Source organism: Homo sapiens, chromosome 15, assembly GCF_000001405.40.
Source record: "Homo sapiens chromosome 15, GRCh38.p14 Primary Assembly".
NCBI lineage: Eukaryota > Metazoa > Chordata > Mammalia > Primates > Hominidae > Homo > Homo sapiens.
The window spans coordinates 75250983-75274136 of NC_000015.10; the positions used below are offsets into that span (position 1 = coordinate 75250983).

General features: G+C 46.6%; 1 protein-coding gene and 2 pseudogenes across 1 annotated transcript, besides 3 other annotated features; 2 read left to right on the forward strand and 1 right to left on the reverse strand.

Annotated features, from left to right (window-relative positions):
* On the reverse strand, window positions 709–1976 carry NIFKP4 (NIFK pseudogene 4; annotated as a pseudogene).
* Window positions 3043–3571: an enhancer, noted in NCBI's record as "OCT4-NANOG-H3K27ac hESC enhancer chr15:75546366-75546894 (GRCh37/hg19 assembly coordinates)". NCBI's record gives its function as "activates a minimal SCP1, AML or CMV promoter by ChIP-STARR-seq in primed H9 embryonic stem cells {active_cell/tissue: H9 hESC(primed)}" and the evidence as "EXISTENCE:reporter gene assay evidence [ECO:0000049][PMID:30033119]".
* GOLGA6C (golgin A6 family member C) lies at window positions 7352–22473 on the forward strand. Its single transcript, NM_001164404.2, has 18 exons — window positions 7352–7700; window positions 9391–9510; window positions 11430–11510; window positions 12366–12404; window positions 12666–12716; window positions 12817–12898; window positions 12995–13101; window positions 14140–14226; window positions 14335–14442; window positions 14635–14722; window positions 15123–15631; window positions 15908–15976; window positions 17307–17382; window positions 17815–17906; window positions 18471–18573; window positions 18657–18760; window positions 18850–19003; window positions 19090–22473. The coding sequence occupies exons 1-18, from the start codon at window positions 7617–7619 to the stop codon at window positions 19215–19217; spliced, it is 2082 nt and encodes a 693-aa protein (NP_001157876.1). The 5' UTR covers window positions 7352–7616; the 3' UTR covers window positions 19218–22473.
* Window positions 7970–8500: an enhancer, noted in NCBI's record as "H3K27ac-H3K4me1 hESC enhancer chr15:75551293-75551823 (GRCh37/hg19 assembly coordinates)". NCBI's record gives its function as "activates a minimal SCP1, AML or CMV promoter by ChIP-STARR-seq in primed H9 embryonic stem cells {active_cell/tissue: H9 hESC(primed)}" and the evidence as "EXISTENCE:reporter gene assay evidence [ECO:0000049][PMID:30033119]".
* Window positions 14888–15751: an enhancer, noted in NCBI's record as "H3K27ac-H3K4me1 hESC enhancer chr15:75558211-75559074 (GRCh37/hg19 assembly coordinates)". NCBI's record gives its function as "activates a minimal SCP1, AML or CMV promoter by ChIP-STARR-seq in naive H9 embryonic stem cells {active_cell/tissue: H9 hESC(naive)}" and the evidence as "EXISTENCE:reporter gene assay evidence [ECO:0000049][PMID:30033119]".
* RN7SL489P (RNA, 7SL, cytoplasmic 489, pseudogene) lies at window positions 17448–17670 on the forward strand (annotated as a pseudogene).
* Window positions 22474–23154: the final 681 nt, after the last annotated feature.

Consider the following 23154-nt stretch of genomic DNA (forward strand, 5'->3'; position numbering starts at 1 on the left):
CTGCCTCAGCCTCCTAAAGTGCTGGGATTGCAGGTATGAGCCGCCGCCTCTACTTTATACTTTCTTGTTGAAGTGGACTGTATTGCTGATTCCCACCCACACTCTCTTTTTGGATATCCGGCCCCTCCTCGAGTCTCTGGAAAGGGCAGCACTACAAATCCAGGGACAACTAGGGAACTCCCAGCCCCACTGCCAGGCAGATCAGATTCTCTATCCTGCTCAGTGGAAATGACACATAGAGTGTTCGATAGATTTTTTGCAGAGACGCATCTGTATGGAAAGGTCCAGTAACACTGGGACCAGGGATACTGCCAGGGCAAGCCAAAGCCTCAGAGGCTGGAGGAGCCTGGAGCACATGCCATATGTTCATCTGCAGAGCAAAGCACAAGCATGGAGCAGAAGTCCAGAGTGAAGGCATGCAGGAGAGAAAAATCACCTCCCAGCCCAGTCCTTCCATGGTGTGGTCGTATTTTGAGTTCTGTACTTGGATGTCTGTGAGGTTGCCTATTGTATTCTTAATACAAATCCCACTTAAGCCAGCCTACAATAGGTAAGATAAATGTAATGACTTGACTTGGCTGGAGTGCAGTGGCGTGATCACGGCTCACTGTAGCCTCAACTTCCTGGGCTCAGGTGATCCACTTCAGCCTCCCGAGTAGATGGGACTACAGGCATGAACAACCATGCCCAGCTAATTTTTTGTATTTTTCTCATAAAAATATTGTTCAGAAGAAATCTTACATATAATACATTGAAAATCACTGATTGCTTTTTCTTCGTCTTCTTTTCTGTGAATATGTAGGTGTTTGAGTCTCTTGTATTTCTTCTTTTACACAGGATACGGGCTGTTTGAAAACTATTTCATTATCTTCATCATCATCATTCATTTCAGCCACTTCAGATTTTCATCTCTTTAAAAATGTTGATGTACAAACCGGTGTGGGGCCCTAGGTATCCACAGTCTTCTCAGGAGTGTCAGGAGTACCTAAAACCTTTTTCTTCTTCTTACATAAAACCTGGCCTTTTGTAGACATCTGACGATTTGTTTTTGAAATACTTTCCATTTTCTGTAAAATCAAAGAAGGAAAATCATAATCAATTCCTTTTTAAGCTAATTTCTTCTCGAGTAATCCTTCTTTCTTTTTAAATCACTCCTCCATCCGTAGCTCTTGTGTAAGTGCAGGTTCTGATTATACATTTCACTGATGGATATGATTGCTGCTTAAATGGAATATTCCAGTCTTGAAAGAGTTCTTTCTGTACTTTTTCAGGTGGCATAAAATGACTCTCCAAGAGTCTTTCACCAAACATGTAGTTGTTCATTGTTTCAGCAACTATCTTAGCAACATCCTCAGACTCAAACTCCACAAATGCATAGCCTTTGCTATTTCCAGTCCTTTTCTTTCTGGATAGTCTGAACCTTGTAACAGTGCCACACTGGGAGAAATAGGAAAGGATCTGGGTTTCATTCAGTAGGTTAGGTAGGTGGCGCACATAGGCTACTCCAGGAGAAAGTTGTTCTTTTTTTTTCTTTTTTTTTTTTTTTTTTGAGACAGAGTTTCACTCTTGTTGCCCAGGCTGGAGTGCAATGGCAAGATCTCAACTCACCTCAACGTCTGCCTCCTGGGTTCAAGCGATTCTCCTGCCTCAGCCTCCTGAGTAGCTGAGATTACAGGCATGTGCCACCACACCCGGCTAATTTTTGTATTTTTAGGAGAGACGGGGTTTCTCCATGTTGGTCAGGCTGGTCTCGAACTCTCAACCTCAGGTGATCTGCTTGCCTCAGCCTCCCAAAGTGTTGGGATTACAGGCATGAGCCACCGTGACCGGCCAGTTGTTATTGTTTTTTTCGTTGGGTTATGCGCTTGCAAACCTGTGCCACCTCCTGAAACTCAGCATCTACCTGTGGGTTCAGTGACAGGATAGGCCCAGCCAGGCTGGAAAAGGCCGCCATGCCAAAAGCGGCTGACACCAACTCCATGCAGCACTCCCGGAAATGCCCAATTTTTTGTATTTTTAATATAAGCAGGGTTTCGCCGTGTTGCCCACACTGGTCTAGAACTCCTGGACTCAAGTGATCTGCCAGCCCTGGTCTCCCAAAGTGCTAGGATTATAGGCATGAGCCACCACACCCAGGCTTGACTTTGAAACGTATGTTGTACATCCAGACAGCAGTGAACTCAGGGGGAACACCAAAGATGAGGAGAATGAGAGAAGGGATACCTCCAATTAAAGGAGTTAAGAAGAGATGCTTGAACTTACATTTCAAAAAATCACTGCAGGTTGGGCACAGTGGCTCACACCTGTAGACACAGCACTTTGGGAGGCTGAAGTGGGTGAACGGCTTGAGCCTAGAAGTTTGAGACCACCCTGGGCAACATGGCAAAACCCCATCTGTACAAAAAATACAGTAATTAGCCAGGCACGGTGGTGCCTGTGGTCCCAGCTACTCGGGAGGCTGAGGTGGGAGGTCAAGGCTGCATGAGCTGAGATCCACCACTCCACTGCAGCCTGGGCGACAGAATGACACCCTGTCTTTAAAAAAAAAAAAAAGTCACTGTTTTGGGGTTTTCTGGGTGAAACCTCTGTTTCCATTTAAAAAAAAAGGGTCAAGACAGTATGTATTACTGATTCAAAATCATAACCTGATGCTTAGAGTAAATCATTGTATCTATTATTTCAAAAACCAACCTCAGGATTATTAAAAGTTAATTTTATTGGGTTTTTCTTTAAGCTTGGCTGATTCACTCAGGTCTGTCACATCCAAGCCCATGTTTTACTACTTTGTAACCCTATTTGGAAGGAAAACTTCAGCTCACATTATGATCCATCCTGAGATGAAGAGTTTCACACATATACACCACATATACCCCCCACCACAGTATGATGACACAGCAACCCAACCTTGGGCAAATGGTACCACTGCCAGCAAATGCATTTTTTTCTTTATTTAAAATTTTTTTTCTGTATTTCTTCTAACAGCAGCAAATGCATTTAACATTTTATTGAGATTCTCAACAGCTGCCATTTGGTTTGTTTAGCAAATTGTTTACAAAGTAACTTTTTTCCATTGTTGATATTTGAATGAAAATTATGTTCTTCAGTTTTAAAGCCCCATCCCTCTCCCAAAGAAAGGTTAATAACTAACTACCAAGTAATGATTATTTAGGAAAAGAAGAAAAGCAAAACCAGCTTGTAAACACTTCTGGAACGTGGGTAAGGGGCCAAAGTCAAGACCTTCTGGGCCCAGTGCAGGTGCTAGGCTTGCCTCGGGACACCATCAGCACTTCCCCATCCACAACATCCTCAACAGCTGGGAGCCATGCGCAGACCCCAGGGGGCTTCCTGTTCCACAAGCTCCCCTCTCTTTTTCCTCTCCACCCTTGCTGTTGGGCCTTCCTTCCAAATCTGCCTAACAAAGGCAGCAGGATCTTTAATACTGTTCAGCTTTGTCAATGGAGACAGGATACTCTAGAAAGTTGAGAGATTCCCTGGTCCAGTCTGGGGGAGGAAAAAATATGCAGTGTAGCATAGATGGTTGTACTTGTCCACTCAGACACATGCTCATACTTATTAGATGGATGTATCAGATGCTTCAAAAGTCCTGATGTGTAATAGCACAAAAGCTGCTTGTAAAAAGGAAGTTGCAAAATGATAAAAATTTCTGCAGCAGTTCAGGCTCCTGATGACAAAGCTGGTTCTGATAAGTAGTTCTTTTGACATGCACAGCAGCTTTCACTGTAAGTCCTGTGTTCCAGCGGTTTCATTTAGACCATAGGAAGTTGAAAGCAAAGTTTAAATGTTCTCTGCTGACAAAATGTGGTATATATCCATCAATGGACTTCTACTCAGTAATGAAAGGAACAAACTACCAAAACCTGTTATATGTCATGGACCAACCTCAAAAACCTTAGCTAAGTAAAAAGCCAGACATGTGACCACATATTGTATAATTCTATTGATTTGAAATGTCCAAAAAAGGCAAGTTGATAGAGACAGAAATGGTCTGATTTACCTCAAGAAGTAGGGATTCAAGCTCTTAGGGTACATGTGATACATACATTAGAAGAAATAAGGAAAAGAAAAGAAATTTATATGTAAATAAATGAAAATAATACTTCTCCCTGATTATAAAGAAAATTGCATTCTTTTTGTAATAATTTGGAAGACAAAATATGAAGAAAAGTCTTTAATTTTGCCACTGAAAGCATTCTGGTTTGTTGCTTTTTATATTTTTTTATGCATATGAACATTTTAAAAAGTAGAATCGTAATATATAGTCTTTTGTCACTATGTTTTGGGCATATTTATATGGCAGTAAATATATCCTTGGCATCATCTTTTTAAAAGCTCGATGTATATTAAGTTAATCATTGCCACCCCAGAAGTAAATTTTCTTATATATATATTTTAATGGACGCAAGCAAGCATTTTGGGGCTGAAGTCATAGAAGTAGAATTTCTGGAGAAAAATAACATAAAATAGTTTTAAGATTTTTAATAGAAATTTTCAAATTATCCTGCAGAAAAATTGGTTCAGTTTATACTCCCAACAGGGGCAGAGCTCCAGTATCCCGTTTCCATTTGTCCTCTTTGCTGATATTTAAGGAGAAAATCTCATTGTTTTCATTGTATTTCTTTGGTTTCTAGTGCTTTTGAAACTTTTTTTTTTTTTTTGAGATGGAGTCTTGCTCTATGGCCCAGGCTGGTGTGCAACAGTGCAATCTCGGATAACTGCAACCTCTGCCTCCTGGGTTCAAGCGATTCTCCTGCCTCAGCTTCCCGAGTAGCTGGGATTACAGGTGCCCACCGCCATGCCTGGCTAATTTTTGTATTTTTTAGTAGAGATGGGATTTCACCATGTTGGTCAGGCCCGTCTCAAACTCTTGACCTCAGGTGATCCACCCACCTCGGCCTCCTAAAGTGCTGGGATTACAGGCGTGAGCCACGGCCCTGGCCTTGAATCATTTTTATGTGCTTATTGGCCATTTTTATTCTTGTGGGAAGTGCCTGTTTCTCCATTGCCTATTTTCTGGCCAAGCTCCCAAGTCACATTTCACTTAATTTTTATCCTGCTGATTGAAAGCATTTTAACATAAACAGGAGCAGGACAGACTGTAATTATCTAGATCTTGCTCTGTCACCCAGGCTGGAGTGCAGTGGCATGATCATAGCTACCACAGCGTCGTACTCCTGAGCTGAAGCAGTTTTCATACATCAGCCTTCCAAGTAGCTAGGACTACAGGTGTGTGCCACCACCCCCAGCTAATTTTTAAGATTTTTTGTAGAGATGCGAATTCACTATGCTGCCCAGGCTGGTCTTGAACTCCTGACTTAAAGTGATCCTCCCACCTTGGCTTGCCAAAGTGTTGGGATTACAGGTGTGAACTACTGCTCCTGGCCGAGGGCTCATTTTGTTTGCTAGTGGTGATATTGGTATCTGTTTATATTTGAGGCTTTGGTGCTAGTGCTGAAGTATTACACTCACCATCCGAGGTTTGCAGGACTTTTGTTTTAATATTGAATAGATGGAACTGTTTACTTCTGCATCTTTGCAGGCATACAAAATGTGCCTACCAGGACTCTGCTTTATATCTATTGAAAGCAAGAAGTAATACAGTAAAACTTTGCCTGGCTAGAGGCTTTGGAAGAATGGAGTATTCTGATTTAATGCTATTGAAGTGTGAAGGTGAAAAGAATGAAAAACTTACATTTCCTGTTGAATGCAACTTGAAAATACAGCCAGTGATTCCACTTTTCTTCTCTAGTAAGTTTGGACATTCTGATCTACTTGGTGTTTTATTATAGAACTGCTAGTGTGCCCGAGACTTACATTGTGAAGACACTTTTTAAAAAACTTGAGAGGTAAGAGGGTGTAAATGGTATTGTGTGAGATCAGGCTGGATGAGAACTGACACTTGTAAACATACTTTTTAGGCTGAATCTCTGATTGCCGTTTGTTTTCTTATTTAACTCATAAAAATAAAACACATTGGATGGAGGGTGGGAGCAGGAAGGAGATTTATGTCTTTTAATTGCATGCCATTGTTTCATATCAAGACAGAACATATGGTATCCCTGGCTTTGGACCTACAGAAGGAAACACATTTTTCTGCCTGCTGTATGCCAGAGGTTCTTGAACACCTGGAGGGATGACTGCAGCACAGATTGCTGAGCCCTACTCCAGAGTTTCTGATTCACCATGTCCAGGGTGGGGCCTGAGAATTTGCACTTATAAAAGGTTCTCAGGTTCTGCTGCTGCTGCTAGTCCAGAGACTACATTTTTGAGAACCACTCTTGTCTACTAACTGTAAATTGTAGAACTCTAGAACAAAGCTTAGTTTGGTGTAGGAAAAGAAGCTCACAGGTTATGGAGCAAATCATGAAAGATTCAACCCTTGATCCCAGCCTAGTGTGGAATTCAGGTAACAATCAATACACAGTGACATAACACAATTCTTGGTTTTCATGATTGCAAGTCATAGCCAAGTATCAAGTGAGAAATTCAGTTTCATTTGCAAGGCTTAGAGAGGCCAGGTGATTCTAGAAAAATAGGCCTTGTATTTGCTTTAAACCAGTAAAGAGCTTTGAGTGCTTATTAAATGGAAAGCTTTGTGTTTTTATTTATTTTTGACTATTTTATTTTATTTTTTTGAGATGGAGTCTCAGTCTGTCACCCAGGCTGGAGTGCAGTGGCGTGACCTTGGCTCACTGCAACTTCCGCCTCCCGGGTTCAAGTGATTCTCCTGCCTCAGCCTCCCCAGTAGCTGGGATTACGGGTACCCACCACCACACCTGGCTAGTTTTTGTATTTCGAGTAGAGACAGGGTTTCACCATGTTGGCCAGGCTGGTCTTGAACTCCTGACCTAAGGTGATCCACCCACCTAGGCCTCCCAAAGTGCTGGGATTACAGGTGTGAGCCACCACACCCGGCCCAAAAGCTTTGTGTTTTTAAAGATATTAGACATGTTTCTTGTTTTTTAAAAAATCTTAATAATGTAGGAGAATAAGAGAAATGTTTTTTCCAAAGCCGAGAAATCATTGTGATTATTTTACCTTATTGGGATGTTGGATAATATAGTCCACTTCATTCATTAATCATCAAACATGCTATGGATTTTCCATTTTTATAGGATTTGTATCTTCACTGGGGTAATACTGGTAATTCTTATACTCCCTCTGAAGATGAAAAATGTAGGCCAAAATCATAGACCATGCATAGAAGCTGGATAATGAAGACAGCTCTGGAGGAACATGTAGACACACACACACTGACACACATATATATAAAGTATAAATACATATTTTTTTAAAGTTTATTTTTAACATTTTAAAGCAAAAACCAGCCCTCCCCTCTCCCAGAGTAGGCAGGCCCCGCCCCTCTCCCCAAGTGGGCAGGGACAGCAGTCGCATGGGCAGCTTTCCTTGTGATGTCACAGGTTCCTCTGGGCACACTGCTGCCTGGCCACGCCTCCTTTCCCTTTCATCTTTCTCATTGACCAATGGGATTGGAGCATTAAGGCCACACCCCTATTCTGCATTCTAGTGTGGCCCTGGTTACGCCTCCTCTGGCTCAGTCACACAGCAGCCTTGTAGGTGACTGGAGGTGTTCGCTGATGTGGCCCCAACCCTACCTCCCTCCCCACCCCATGATGTTAGAAGAATCTCGACAGAATAAATTGGCAGCAGCCAAGAAAAAGGTAAAAAGCCAAGAAAAAGGTCATGGCCCCCCAACCTAGCCAGAGATCCCCTCTGATGACAAGACCACTCCCAGAGTCCATACCACTCCTGAGGCACACCGGGCTGGGCCCCCCTACCCCGGCGCCTCTGGGCTCCCCCCACCAAAGTCTTGTCAGTCAGCCCCGCCCCTTCAGCAAGCAGCCCAGCCTCTGCCCTCGCCAATCACCCTGCGGTGACTTTGGGCGGATGACTACTGGGGATACCTGCTCCATATTCAGCCCTCACGTCCTGCCACCCCAAGCCCAACCTCCCTGGGTTCTTTGGGCTCACCTCTCCAAGGACCTGGGTCCCCCAGCCCCAACCCCCCAGCATCGCCAGTCATCCCGGGGTGACTTTGGGCTGGTGACTCCTGGGGTTCCCTGAGCAGACTCTGCTCTCCCCTCCTGCTGACCCAAGCCCGACCTCCCTGGGCTCTCTGGGCTGGCACCTCCAAGGACCTGGGTCCCAGCCCCACGTCCCCCCTCCCCCATCGTGGATCGGCAACTCAGCCATTGCACTGATGAGGTTTCCCCCACCCCCAGGAGGAGTGGAATGTAGTGATGTCACAGTCCTCCTAGGAACTGTCATTACTGCTGCAAGACCGGCCTTTGATCTTATAACCCAGTCCCCTAAGCATTCTCACCCCATTTCTGGTTCCTCTGGTCACAGCACAAATTTCCAGCTAGAAGGGAAATGGGGACCATGGGACCTAGGAGCAAGAGGTTTCAGGCTGCCTTACTCCCTTCACATAGACATCGACAGTGTGAAAAGCCTACACTTCCCCTGTGAGCTCAAAACGTTGACAGTATCTCTGGGTGGTAATGGGAGAATGGGTTTGGTTTGGTTTTCTCCCAGGCTTCTACTCTCCAGAGAGACTTTAACATTTTTTTCCGAGTTCTCCACCTCATATTCTAATTCTCCACGGTTCTGGGACCAGACTGCCCTTCAGTCAGTGGTCTCTGAAGTGAGATTTGCTCATCTTCTGTGGAATAGGTCTTGGGAAACTGAACTTGACAGCTTGAATCTTCCTCATATCATCTCAACTTAGGGTACATTGAGTGCCACAGGATAAATGTGGGAGATCTTTCTGAAGCATCAGTTTCCCTTGATTCTCTTGAGAGAGAAAAAACATTAATGTACTTAGGGGTGACCCTCACATAGGTTTCTAAGAGTATACCAGACTTCTCTCTGAAATGAGACTTGGGTTGTCCTCTTTCTGATAAATTCCCAGATTTAACAAAAAAGCTGCCTTCTGCCATGAGGACACATTGATATAAAAGTTTGAGAGATACTGGTGCACTTCTTCACACTAACAGACATTTGAGGATGTATGACTCTAAACCACACAGCGTGTAGTTCATGCCTATGTAATGTTTACTTTTCTACCTCTGCGTCTGGTTTTGGTCCCCGGCAGCTGCTGATTCATGGCAAAACCCCAGAGCTTGGAGTCAGAAGACTGAGTTTAAGTTCCATTATTGCCCCCCCACACTTTTTTTTTTAGCCATAATATCCATCCCTCTCAGTCACTTAAGTGATTGTGACAACACCTTGTACAGTTGTTGGTGGCATTAAATCAGATGGTGTATAAGAGTATTTTGCAAAAACTGTAAGGAGGGTGTGGCTGTAAGGGCTGGTAGTTCTCATGTGTATTACTGCTCTTCTTTCCCACAGCTAAAAGAATATCAGCAAAGGAAGAGCCCTGGTATTCCAGCAGGAGCAAAGACAAAAAAGAAAAAAACTGACAGTAGCCCTGAGACAACCACTTCCGGTGGTGGCCACTCACCTGGGGATGTGAGTCTTGGCTGGCCAGGCTCCTGGGGACAGGGGGCCCAAGGGGCAGTAGAGGGTAATTGTTGAGATTGCTGGGTACTGGTTAAGAATTCTGGGTTTGAATCCTGCTTCTTCATCTGCTAGCGATCTGATTTATGGCAAGTTGCTTGAGCTCTTTGAGCCTCTCTTTTCACATCTGTGAAATAGGGGTAGTATTGTTTGACTTCCATTTGTGAAGTTTAAATGAGATTCCTTATTGTTGTTGTTTTCATGTTAACCCCTAGTACGTGGCCTGCTGTAAACACCCAGGATACCCAGGAAATGGTCATTGCTGTTTGATTTTCCTGATCCCCACTCGCAAGGGGAAGCTGGGCTAATGAGTACAGCCACTTGCCATCAGGCTGTCCCTCTAGGAGTCACTGAAGGGGGCCCAGGGTGTGGTGAGGAGAGCCCAAGGCACTAGGAGCAAGAGAAGGTCTAACTTGCCACCAGCTTGCTGGGTGACCACAGAAAAATCACTTCTTCTGCTGGGCCTCAGTTTCCTCCTCTGTAAGATGATACTGGATAAGATCAGTGTCTTTCAAACTTGTTTTTTAGCTGAAGTCCCCTTAGTTCAAGTGAACTCTTACTCAGGAGTCTGTTTTTTTTTAATGGAGGTGGAGGTCTGGAGCTCTACCAGATTCATCGCCCATGTCCTGGGCCTGAGGAGAGGGGTCCAGTGAGCGTATTAAGATCTGCATTGGTCAGCTGACTCCACTCTGTGACTGCGTCACTCGGGGGACTTTTCCATCTATTTTTTCCTGCCCCTGGCAAGGCAGCAGGTGGCCATTTGGAAGAATGGCACAGGCCATGGTTTTAATCTCCTCTGCTCTTCTTCAGCGTTTCCTTTTCCTGAACCCACATCTTCCTCCTACCCTGACTTTCTTGCTTCTCTCTAAGCCACTTCTGTCTTTCACCCCCTGCCCTTGTTTTTCCCTTGTCACCTCCTGTAGATTCAGGACATTCTGAAGGTGCGGGTGTCCAACCTTAACCACTCCAATGGGGTAGTGCTCCCCCATTGGACAAGTGGAAGGTGAGGCAGTGCCAAGACCCCTCTCTGGCTTGCTGTCTACAGCTGTGCATGGCCCTGAGGCTTCTCTGGCTTGGGGGATGCTTGGCCTCTGCCTTGTTTTATGTTGCTGCCATTAACCTTCAGCCTGTTTCTGTCTGCTTCTTCACCTGCTTGATTGATTGGGTTTTTTCCTTCCCCGCGTCTTTTATTATCTTGGAAATGGTGATGCCTAAAAGTTTAAAAGTAATCTGGGAATAACGTACAGAGCAGGCATGTGGGATTTGGGCTCTTTTTTTTTTTTTTTTTTTTTTTGAGACAGAGTCTCACTCTGTCACTCAGACTGGAGTGGAGTGGTGCGATCTCGGCTCACTACAACCTCTGCCTCCCGGGTTCAAGTGATTCTCTTGCCTTAGCCTCCTGAGTAGCTGGGATTACAGGCACCTGCCACTACGCCTGGCTAATCTTTGTATTTTTAGTAGAGATGCAGTTTCACCATGTCGGCCAGGCTGATCTTGATCTCCTGACCTCAAGTGATCCACTTGTCTCAGCCTCCTGAACTGCTGGGATTACATGTGTGAGCCACTGTGCCCGGCTCCTTGCTGTTTTTATACTTTCTCCATATACATAACTATTTCCCATGTAAGTTTTTTTTTAATTTCTCATTTTTATTACTCCTGCATCATCTGTTACCCTGAAGGATCTGGAAGTAAGAGGCCCTGGGCTGAGGTGCAGTGACTTTGCAGGCCAGCCCTCCAACCTCCTCTCACAGTGGGGGCTGGGTGACCCTCTGCCAGCTGAGACAGCCCACACACACCCCAGCCCTAATGATTGTTCTCTCTACCTCTCCCCACAATCCTCTTCCAACTCCTCCTCTCTGCATGTGCCTCAGAGCCAGTACCAAGAACTAGCAGTAGCCCTGGAGTCAAGCTCAGTGACAATCAATCAGCTCAATGAAAACATAGAATCATTGGTAAGTCCAGTGGGGTCCCCTGATTCCATGCTGCCAATCCTGGGCTTTAGTTTCCCCTTGGGGCCCTGAAGAAAGGGGCTGGGGGCCCCTGGTGCCAAGGGCAAATGGGGAGCTGGAGCACCCAGGCCTCACCTGGAGGGACCCCAGAGCAAGGAGCACGCAGCATGGCTCTTCTGTCACTGCCCTCTTTGCCGACTCTCTCTTCTCCAGACACCCCTGCTCCAGTCCTTGCCACACACGCCCTGAGGTTGTCACCTCTCAGGGAAGCGCTAGCCTGACTGGTTGTCAGGGGCCCTGTATTTCTGCCCTGACTCAGTCCCTAATTTGCTTTGAGTCTGGACAAGCCACCTGTCCTCCTTGGGCTTGTGTTTCTGGAGGAGGTAGAGCATCAAAGTTCTCTGTTAGCTCTGAGAGTCTGAGATTTAAAGGCCCCTAGAATGGAAACCTGAGGGCCAAGGGCTCCTGTCTGTCCTTTTCCATCCTATATCTGCTGTGAAGAACCGTAGCTGGCCCGTATGTGTTCAGTAAATGTTTGTTGAATGAAGGCACCTTTCTAAATCACAAGCTGGCAGAAGGGTGGGCCTTCCTGAGACTCCCTCTCTAGAGGTTTATGTTACTGTCCTTTCAAGAGAATCCAGATTCAGGCTTTGAGTTCTGTGGCTGTGGGCAAAAACCAACAAAGACCCAAGTCCTCTGTCCTTGGGAGCTTGAGGAGGGTTGACCAGTTTGTGTTGCCATTGGTTCTGAGAATGTTGCCTTTAAAATCCATTCCTGGACCCTGCCTACCGCTTCCAGGTCTGGGGAATAGAGTTGAGGGGGCCACTCTCAGTCACCTGAATTTGACTCTCCCCACAGAAACAGCAGAAGAAACAAGTGGAACATCAGCTGGAAGAAGTAACGTGATTTCTTTGCTCACAACATGACTGCTGGGTTTGGGGGACACTCAGATGCAGAGGCGCCAGTCTCATCTTGCCCACTCCCAGCCTGGGGAAGAAGGCTCACCCATCAGATTCCACCCCATCCCCATAGGGTCCCTGATAACCTGGTCCCATGGGTGGGCCTGTCCTGGGGCATTGGTGGCATTCTGGGGGCATGTCTCTTGCTGTGCCATCTCTGCCTCCCTGTGATAAGAGCTCTGTCTTCCTCTTCCTACAGGCAAAGAAAACAAACAATGAAATACACAAAGCACAAATGGAGCAGTTAGAGGTGAGTGGAGGGTGGGGAGCTTTCTCCTGTCCTCTGGAGAATGTTTCTTTCCTTCTCTTTCAGCATTTCCTTGGCTTTTCTCCCAAACGTTCAATTCCAGACAATCAACATCCTCACATTGGAAAAGGCAGACTTGAAGACCACCCTTTACCATACTAAACGTGCTGCCCGACACTTCGAAGGTGGGAATCTGGGCATCCCGTCATCCTTCAACCTGGCACTTTGACAGGTCTTTAGGGGGAGTCTTTTGGGCCCCATCTCAACCTCTCTCATTACAGAAGAGTCCAAGGATCTGGCTGGCCGCCTGCAATACTCCTTACAGCGTATTCAAGAATTGGAGCGGGCTCTCTCTGCTGTGTCTACACAGCAGCAGGAAGAGGACAGGGTGAGTCCAACCAGCTGCCCCATCCCCTGGCAGCCTGGCTTCCCAGATAGAGGAGTGAGCCTAAAGGTCCCTTCTGCAGGATGGAGTGTCCTGCCCAGAAGGCAGCATGGTCATTTCTCACTACTTTTGTGTATGGTTGTTAGAGGCAGCCTGGGGCTGAGTCAGCTGCTGTGGGTGAGTTGGGGGGCACTGTGGGGAGTGAGCACTGGATGCAGAGCTCAGAGGCCAAGTGCCTGCCCTGCCCTTTCCTGGCTGTGGCCTTGGCCAAGTCCTAGGTGGGGTATTGGGTAGTTGTTCTGTGAAGGTACAGAAGAGCACATTTAGTATGTTACCATTTCTGTAGAGAGAGGAAAGGGGTGTGTGTGTGTGTGTGTGTGTGTGTGTGTGTGTGTGTACTATGATAATATACAAAAACATGTCTGCAAGCATTCATAAAAAACTCAGGAGAGAGTAACAGGGTGCCTGGAGACACCTCCCTTCTGTACCTTCTGAGTTTTGGACTATATGAATGTATCATCCTTTCAAAAAGTGAACAAAAGATTAATTTCCCCCTTCCTATCTGTGTCCCCACCCCCAGCAAGAAAAATGGGCTTAGAGAATAGGATAGACCTGGGTGTTCAAATCCCAGCTCTGTCTAAGTGATCTTAGGCAAGCACTTAACCTTGAACACTCGATGTTTTTCATCTACACAATAGAGGTAATCCTAGTAACCGTCTCATATGGTGGTTGTGAGGATTAAATGGGATTGCTAGCATGGAACCTGGTGAAGCACTCCATAACGGTTCAAACAGTGGTAGTAATAACAGTAATAACAATAGCAATATTATCTGATCTCTCTGGGCCTCTGTTAGCCAGCTGTAAATTCGATCTCTTTCCCTCTCCCTTCCAACTTTACTGAGTTCTTTTAATAACCAGGCCACGGGCTTGGAAATGCCTTGACCTTTACTAACCGAGTTGTATATTGAGCCTAGCCCTAGCCCTTTTAAGGGGCACTGCCCGGGCTCCCCAGATCAAAACTTCTCACTCTTCACCATCCAGTCCTCGAGCTGCAGAGAAGCGGTCCTCCAGCGGCGGTTACAGCAGACCATAAAGGAGCGGGCGCTGCTGAACGCACACGTGACACAGGTGAGGCTTTGCAGAGGGAGGGATGTGGAAGGAAGATGACCCCAGGTGGCCAGGAGCAGGTGAGGACCAGTGACAGCCCTTCCTAACTTCTGTGCCCATTTCTTGCAGGTGACAGAGTCACTAAAACAAGTCCAGCTAGAGCGGGACGAATATGCTAAACACATAAAAGGAGAGAGGGCCCGGTGGCAGGAGAGGATGTGGAAAATGTCGGTGGAGGTGAGGTCTGACCCTTCAGCCCCCACTTTAGATAGGTCACTGGATCTTTCTGGGCATCTGTAAAATGGGAATAGTACAGCCAGAGGTGGTCATGGGTCTGGGCTTTGTGGAGATGGGGACAGAGAATGAGATGGTAGCCTGTCCAGCCACCAGCCCCTCTCTCCAGGGCCCTTTCCCCTGTGCTTTGGGCAGGCTCGAACATTGAAGGAAGAGAAGAAGCGTGACATACATCGGATACAGGAGCTGGAGAGGAGCTTGTCCGAACTCAAAAACCAGATGGGTAAGATGGGGCTGGTGTGACCTCGGAGCAGGACTGGCATCAGAGGTCTGTGGGGGTGGCTTAGAATGCCCCAGGGAGGTGGGTGGGTGGAAGGGCTTTGAGGCAGAGGGAAAGAGGTCTGTGCCAGGAGACGGCAAGTTTTGTCATCTCCATGAGCCTCAGGGTCCCCATCAGCAAAGAGGGAGGAGTGCCCGTTGTCAGCCACCCACAGTGCTCTCTATGTGAAAGTGGCTTGGAAATTGGCTACCATTGGGTGCGAGGAATGATTAGCAGTGAGGCCAAGTTTGGGAAGCCTGAGAGGAGCTGTGCATCAAGAGGAGGTTTTTTTTTTTTTTTGAGGGGGATGTGGGTAGAGGGGTTGGGGAATCCAGAGGCCCTTATTGTCTGCTTCATTTCTCAGCTGAGCCCCCATCCCTGGCACCCCCAGCAGTGACCTCTGTGGTGGAACAGCTACAAGATGAGGCCAAACACCTGAGGCAGGAGGTGGAAGGTCTGGAGGGAAAGCTCCAGTCCCAGGTGGAAAACAATCAGGCCTTGAGTCTCCTTAGCAAGGAACAAAAGCAGAGACTCCAGGAGCAGGAGGAGATGCTCCGAGAGCAGGAGGCGCAGAGAGTGCGGGAGCAGGAGAGACTGTGTGAACAAAACGAGAGGCTTCGGGAGCAGCAGAAGACGCTACAGGAGCAGGGTGAGAGGCTGCGAAAGCAGGAGCAGAGGCTACGCAAACAGGAGGAGAGGCTGCGAAAGGAGGAGGAGAGGCTGCAAAAGCAGGAAAAGAGGCTGTGGGACCAGGAGGAGAGGCTGTGGAAGAAGGAGGAGAGGCTACAAAAGCAGGAGGAGAGGCTCGCGCTCTCCCAGAACCACAAGCTCGACAAGCAGCTGGCCGAGCCACAGTGCAGCTTCGAGGATCTGGTGGGTTGCCCCACCTGGGGAGCCTGCCCTCATCCCTATCCCTCCAGGCCTTTGTTTCCCCACCTGTAAAATGGGCCAGTGTAGCCCTCACATGAAATGCTACTTCTAAAGGCACCTGTGAGCTACAGCTCATCGGGCTCTGCTCTGATGGCTGTGGGGGAGAAGGGATGATTTTTCTAACCTGCCTCCACCCTTCCTGGTGATATGGGAGGCAGACACCAAGGTCTGGTGTCTCCAGCTGCAGTGGATGGCCACTGATTGCTTCTCTCTGTCCAGAACAACGAGAAAAAGAGCGCACTGCAGTTGGAGCAGCAAGTAAAGGAGCTGCAGGAGAAGCTAGACGAGGTGAAGGAGATGGTAACCTCCACCCCATCCAAGAAGGGCTGGGAGGCGGGCACCAGCCTCTGGGGAGGGGAGGTGCCAGGCCAAAGGCAGCTCCAGCTGGGAGGCAGGTGACCCCAGCACCCTCCAGTGCAGCTCTATGACTGTTTCTTGCTTCCTGCCCTCTGACTTTTAGAGGTGGGTAGCCCTGGGCTCCTCCCAGGTCTGGACATCATCATCCCAGCTAGAGACATGGAGCCCCCAATCACAGGGGAAGAGACAGTGGTACAAGAGGCTCCTTATCCAGGCACGGTGGCTCGCACCTGTAATCCCAGCACTTTGGGAGGCTGAGGCAGGAGAATCACTTGAGGTCAGGAGTTTGAGACCAGCCTGGCCAACGTGGCGAAACCTCACCCCTACTAAAATTACAACAACAACAACAAAAAATTAGCCAGGCATGGTGGCGCATGCCTGTAATCCCAGCTACTCAGGAGGCTGAGGCACGAGAATCGCTTGAGCCCACGTGGTGGAGGCTGCAGTGAGCTGAGATTGCACCACTGCACTCCAGCCTGGGCCACAGAGTGACACTGTCTCAAAACAAAACAAAAAAGGCTCCTTAGATTCAAACTGGATTCTGGCCTGGGTTCCACTGGTCACCATTCAACTACTGTTCATCTCTAAGTCTCTGTTTCTGTGACTTCAAAAGGAAGTTAGCATTTTCCTTGCAGAGGTGCTGAGGATTGAATGAGAGAATACCTGGAAAGCATTAGGCATGTAGCACACTTAGCAGATGGTGGTTGGCTCCCTCTGCTTTTCCACCAGTCTGTGGCCTACAGTTTAAATGGTGGGAAGAAGGACATGAGATTTGAGGCTGGGGAAGGAGGTATGGGGTTCTAGGCAAGGGAGGAAGCCTCTTAGGCCTGGAGCAAGGGACCAGGGTCCTGGGCAGGTGACAGAGCCCCACGGTGCCCTCGCTACCCTATTAATGGGCCCAGAATCTGGAAGCCAGCCACCATGTGCCCTCATGCCCAGGGTCTTCCTGCAGGTGGAGCTGAAGAGCCAAGAGTCTCAGAGTCTGCAGCAGCAGCGAGACTAGTACCTGGGTCACCTGCAGCAGTACATGGCCACCTATCAGCAGCTGACCTCTGAGAAGGAGGCGCTGCACAGGCAGTTACTGCTGCAGACCCAGTTCGTGGACCAGCTGCAGCAGCAGGAAGCTTGGGGCAAAGCGGTGGCTGAGATGGCCGGCCAAAAGTTGCAGGAGACCCAGGGGAGGGAGTTGCTGAGGACGGGGCCCCGAGGGGGATGACCTGGCAACCTCCGTGCCTTCTCACTCTGTTTCCCGTCCCCTTAGGAGCACCTAGAAGCTGCCAGCCAGCGGAACCAACAGCTAGAGACCCAGCTAAGCCTCGTGGCTCTCCCTGGAGAAGGTACAGGAGACCACTCAGAGGAAGAGGAGAGAGCCCCAGGAGGAAGGGGGGACTGTTAGCAGCATAGGATTGAGGGGTTGGAAGAGACCTTTAGAACAGCTGGTCGTTATGCCAACCGGGTGTCCGCACTAAGTTCAGCATCAATATGGTGACCTCCTGGGAGCAGGGGGCCACCAGGTTGCCTAAGGATGAATGAACTGGACCAGATCAGAAAGGGAGCAGGTCAGGACTCCCGCACCGACCGGTAGTGGGACTGTGCCTGGGCAATATAGCAAGATCTTGGTTCTTAAAAGGAAAAATAAAGAACAGCAGCTCACTCCCCTCTGGGGAGAGGCTGGCTCAGGGTTACACAGTCAGGGTGGGGACAGAGGTAGGCCCACAGTACCTTCCTTGTTGGGTTGTCTGAGGACCCCTCTGGCCACCTCCCCACAGGAGATGGAGGACAACATCTGGACAGTGAGGAGGAGGAGGCGCCTCGGCCCACGCCAAACATCCCAGAGGACCTGGAGAGCCGGGAGGCCACGGTGAGCCTGACTTTCCCTGCCCCGCTTTGCCACCTTCCTCTGTGGTCCCTCCCAGAGCCCGTTATGCTCTTGGTTTTCCCACCTTCTGATTTCTCTGGCCCCTCACCCCTTCCGGGAGCCAGTGGTCAGACACTTTGTCACCTGTGACCAACAGGTGCACTCTCTGAGGCCCCAAGGGAAGGGGTTGTTCTCCACCTCCCTGCCTCATTTGTTCTGTCTATGCCCCTACAAGAATACTCACCTCTTGCCTTCAAGTGGCATTTTTCAACTCCGCTGGAGCCAGTTCCCAGGAGGAGCAGGCACGGCTATGTGGGCAGCGGAAGGTGCGAAGGCTGTGCCGCCTGCACCTGGCTCATCTGGTGGCCTTGGCCTGGAAGGAGCCAGAGGCAGAGGCCCCAGCCCCAGGGAGGACTGGAGATGAGTTTGTGTGTGGGGAGAGCTACCGGGCCCTGAAGGAGGCCATGGTGAAGCTGAAAGGGAGTGAGTCCTGGCATGGGCCAAGAAAAGTGGGGGCGGGGCAGAACAGGTCACTCCCGAGGTGTGACCCCATTATTTTGGCTCCAGAGCAGCTTTATGGACCTCCCGAAGGAGAAGGCGGACGGGACGGAGCAGGTGGAGAGACGAGAGCTTGGATTCGTCCAGCCTTCTGGAGTGACAGACGGCATGAGTGAGCGGGAGGCCAGGGCACGGGCACGGGGAGCTGCAGGGCCGTCGGAGGGACCCTAGTGTCTGAGCTGTGTCCTCTCACAGGAGAGTCCTTCACCGTATATGAAAGCCAGGGGGCAGTGCCAAACACGCGGCACCAGGAGATGGAGGATGTCATCAGGCTGGCCCAGAAGGAGGAGGAGATGAAGGTAGGGCGTGCAACATCTCTGCGGGGTTGGGGGTGGGCATGGGCACTGGTGCAGGCTCCAGGGTGGGAGCTGAGCACCCCTCCCTTCAGGTGAAGCTGCTGGAGCTGCAAGAGTTGGTGTTGCCCCTTGTGGGCAACCATGAGGGGCATGGCAAATTCCTCATCGCTGCCCAGAACCCTGCTGATGAGCCCACTCCAGGGGCCCCAGCCCCCCAGGAACTTGGGGCTGCCGGTGAGCAGGATGGTGAGTAGAGCTCTCAGGCGGGGTGGGCAGGCAGGGGCAGGGGAGGCTCGCACTGTGCTCAGACCCCCGCCTCCCTCTCTCCGAAGATTTTTATGAAGTGAGCCTGGACAACAACGTGGAGCCTGCACCAGGAGCGGCCAGGGAGGGTTCTCCCCATGACAACCCCCCGGTACAGCAGATCGTGCAGCTGTCTCCTGTCATGCAGGACACCTAGGAGCACCCAGGCTTGCCCAGCAAACCCTGCGTGCCATTCTTCTACCAGGCAGCCGAGAACAGGGAGATAAACATCATCATCTTCTAAGAGCTGGTCAAGAAATTTAAAACAACAACAACAAAAAGTTACGGGGTTCATCTCCTACACAATTCATTTACTCCATTTGAATGCTAGAGCCACTCACATTTATTTGTGTTTCTAATTTACCGTTTAAATTTATTTGTAAAAAGTTAAGGGAGAGTTGGTCTTTCCCTGATGTTCTTTCTGGCATCCTTTAGCATTTTTATTTTTAATTTGATAATTGTAGGTCATTAGTATGCATATCGAGTTTGCCCTTAGGTGGTGGGAATTCAAACACACAAAGACCCACTAATTTGCACAAAACTATTCTGGCTGGTTTGGAACAGGCTGCCATGCTTTTTTAATGTTATTGCAGCATGTATATTCATTCCAGAATTCAGATAAAATGTGCTTATGTTCTGCTATTACGTTTGATCGAATCCTAACCACAGTGAGCTCTTCATTAGCTCAATATGTGGTTTGCCCTCAATTGAGCACTGTTTATTACTTTGTAATATGCCACTGTGAGTACTGACATTTAGAGTTGTTTAAAGGCCAAGAACTGGAAACAGCCTTTTCCCTATTTTCTGTGTATTGGGGATGGGAGTAATAACATTTTGGGGAGCTTTTTAAATCTCACAGAAGAGGAAAGTGGCCTGCTCTGGCAGGTGTGTGCAGGATAGAGTGTGTTTCATTTGTTCTGGTGCCAAGAATGAGCGCTGTACTATGGTAGTTCCCTTAGGATTTGTATGTGCTCTGGGCTCATGAAGATATTGCATCATGAGCTGCAGCAGTTGTACCCTTTCTTGATGACCTAAAAAGGGATTATTTCTGAGGAATGAAAGGCTCCCATCATTGACTGTGGATGTGGAAAACCTTTTCTAGCTTAGAGCATTTATATCTACAATACATTTTAAAGTCAGAGTTCATGTTACCTGTTTTAATCACGAGTATATGTCCCAGTACACAAAAGGGCACTGGTTGGCATTCTTCTTAAGGTATTTAGTGAAGATCATAAGAAATCCTTTAAGAGTTTAAATGTCCCTGGAAGAGGCATACAGGCTCTAGTCAAGAATGAATTTGAGTGAAGGAAAGCTGTGTGACACCTGGCCTTCCTCTATGTTCATGGAGCTTCTTTGAGGCTAGAAGATTGATTTTATCATCTAGACCTCTCTGGCTAATACCTATTCTTCAGCCACATTAGTTACTCTGACATAGGAATTTACTTCTTTTCTTTGAATGGAAAACACTTTAAAAATAATAACAACCATTATTATAAACCAATATATGTGAGAGTACTTAGTTGAAACAAAAAGGAGTTTTAGTAGACAGTATTATACTACACATGAAAATCAAGGCGAAGTTTATGCAACTTAAAATGTTTACAAGCTGCAGTGCAATCTAATGTTTGTGAATGTCCAAGTATTATGAGAAAAAGTGTCTATACAATGACAGACTTATGTTTCCTCACAAAGTTCTTCACAAAGAGTGAAATATGTTTTTATACCTCTCAGTTTCAGTTAGAGGCATATTTTGTGCCATATTTATGTTAATGTGCCTATACGTGATGAGTGAATTATTTCAGTCATACATTGCCTAAATCATAACTTTAAGATGCTTGGGAAAGAATCAACAGCTAAAAGTTCATGAAGTTCTAATGTCTGTGTTCCAAAATACGTCACAGTATTAGGATGCAGGGAGAGATGTGTGTGCGCTCCCTGGGGTGGGCATTTCTAGTTACTAGACCATCTCCATTTTTAGCATTTGGCATCCTCATGATACTTTTATACATATGACATTAATAGGAGAGCAATAATACGATTTTACAGATGGAATAACAGATGTGCCTGCATTCAGTGAAAGAGTGCAAATATTAAGTCCTTGTGACTTCAACTGACTCTTCCAAATTGTATGAATTTATCAATGTATTAGATAAACTCAGTTCCAGAATTATAAAGAAAAACTGTTAGACCAACGAATGTGGCTAATTAACAGTAGGACGATTTCTAGCCCGAGGGTTTAAAATGGACTTCAAGTCCTGTTCTTGCCTTTTATTTTCTGAACTTGCCACTTTTGCATTCTTTGAGTTCAGTTTAAAGACAGTTTGAGTCCAATTTAGACCCTCGGGCTAGAAATCATACCACTGTTAATTAGCCACCTTATTTGGTCTAACAGTTTTTCTTTATAATTCTGAAACTGGGTTTACCTAATACATTGATAAATTATTTCAAAGGTATTTTTATAGTTCAAATCACTTCACTTTTACCCTGATAAATATAAATGACTAGGAATGATCTTCAGCTAGCCTTTAGCACCTGCAACCAATCTGACAATAATGTGTTCATCAGGTACCTGTGGATTAAATCACACACCGGCATATTTAAGCTGAATGTCAGTCTGGAAAATGAATGTACTATATTAACTGAAATACCACTCTTTGTGTAGGTATTCTGTCATATATTTAAGAAAAATTAAATAGCATGTAAATCATATAACAATAACTTAAGTCTTTCTTCAAAGTGCATGTGGTCCTTTGCAATACCTCATTCAGCCAAGTATTTGTTCTCTTCCTCATTCAGTTTAAGGCAGCTTTCAATTTGCTTAGAAGGCAACATTAGAAGGGTAGAGTTTAATCAGAAACATAGAATTTTAAAGTGTGGGTTCAACTGAATAAATTTGAATTTCTGTAGGAAGTAAAGAATTAAAAATCTATTTAAAGATTGCAATATATAATCATTTTTAAAGTATTTGTTTAACCTGATGGGTTTTCCAGAAATGAAAACAAGTCAGTTCTAAAACCAAAGCTGATATTTAGAAAATGTGAAAATATAAATCAGCCCTATGCATAATATAGTTTCTCTAAAACTTTATCTTAAAGAGTCATTTTAAAAGAATATAACTATTCAAAAATGTAACTGCTATCTTAATGTTTTGAAATAAGTTAAAACACTTTAAAATATGAATACTGTAGTTTGAAAGAAAGAAACTGGGGGAAGGAAAAGTAGAGAAAGAAATGCCAATTCCAATGCAAGGCTTTATTTGCCAAGTTTTCTTAGAATGACTTTTACCAGTTTATGAATTCTTGTAAACAGAATGTATAATAGAAATACTGAAACACTGTTGCCTAAAGTGGCATTGTTGACTGCTACTGTGATGCTACTGTAATGTAATAAATTATTAAATTGTTGCAAAGTGCTGTTTTTGCCTTAAAATTTTGTGTGTCTTGAAAACTATAGTATTACAGGTATTGAGACTGTGCAAATGCTGGGCACGCTTGGCATGAGATAATCAGTTTTTATTTTTACAAAATTGTAATTAACTATGCAAGTGTGTTTATTAAAAGAATACAAACTAAAAAGAAGTTATGGGATTTAGAAAATGTTGTAGGATGAAAAAGTTATGGGATAAAAAATGTGGAAAAGTCGTGGCAAAAAAAGTTGTGAAAAAAGTATTTAAAGTTTTATGAAAAGTTTAAAAAAAGTATTATGAAAAAGAAGTTACGGGATTAAAAAATAAGTCATGGGATATAAATAAAAATAAATAAAAGCAGGCCTCTGTCAGCATAAGCCTGGAGAAGTGGGGCTGGAGTCTGCCGCCATCGTGTCCCTACCATCCCTTCCTACCCCTTTATCATTAGGGTAGCAAGACAAGACCCCTGTCTAATGGGGAGAGACAAACAGACCCTTTGCCACCTTGACCAGGGCTGAGTCCTTAGATTTCTGGATGATGATGATTGTTATTTAAGAGCCAGAGGCTGGTGGAGTCGGTTTGTTTGGAGGCGGCCTGATGGCCTCCCTACCCTCACCAAAGCAACTTTTCCCTCAGGGGGCTCCCATCTTCTTATTCAGAGAGGCAGCTGAGGCAGGGACAATGGGGC

What these genes read in the sequence shown, in the direction of transcription:
- GOLGA6C (NM_001164404.2), top strand. Translation starts at nt 7,617, where the DNA reads ATGTGGCCCCAACCCTACCTCCCTCCCCACCCCATGATGTTAGAAGAA. An exon ending in CGTGGCTCTCCCTGGAGAAG is followed by an intron (nt 17,383 to 17,814) that starts GTACAGGAGACC and finishes ACCTCCCCACAG; the next exon opens with GAGATGGAGGACAACATCTG. An exon ending in TGGAGTGACAGACGGCATGA is followed by an intron (nt 18,574 to 18,656) that starts GTGAGCGGGAGG and finishes GTCCTCTCACAG; the next exon opens with GAGAGTCCTTCACCGTATAT.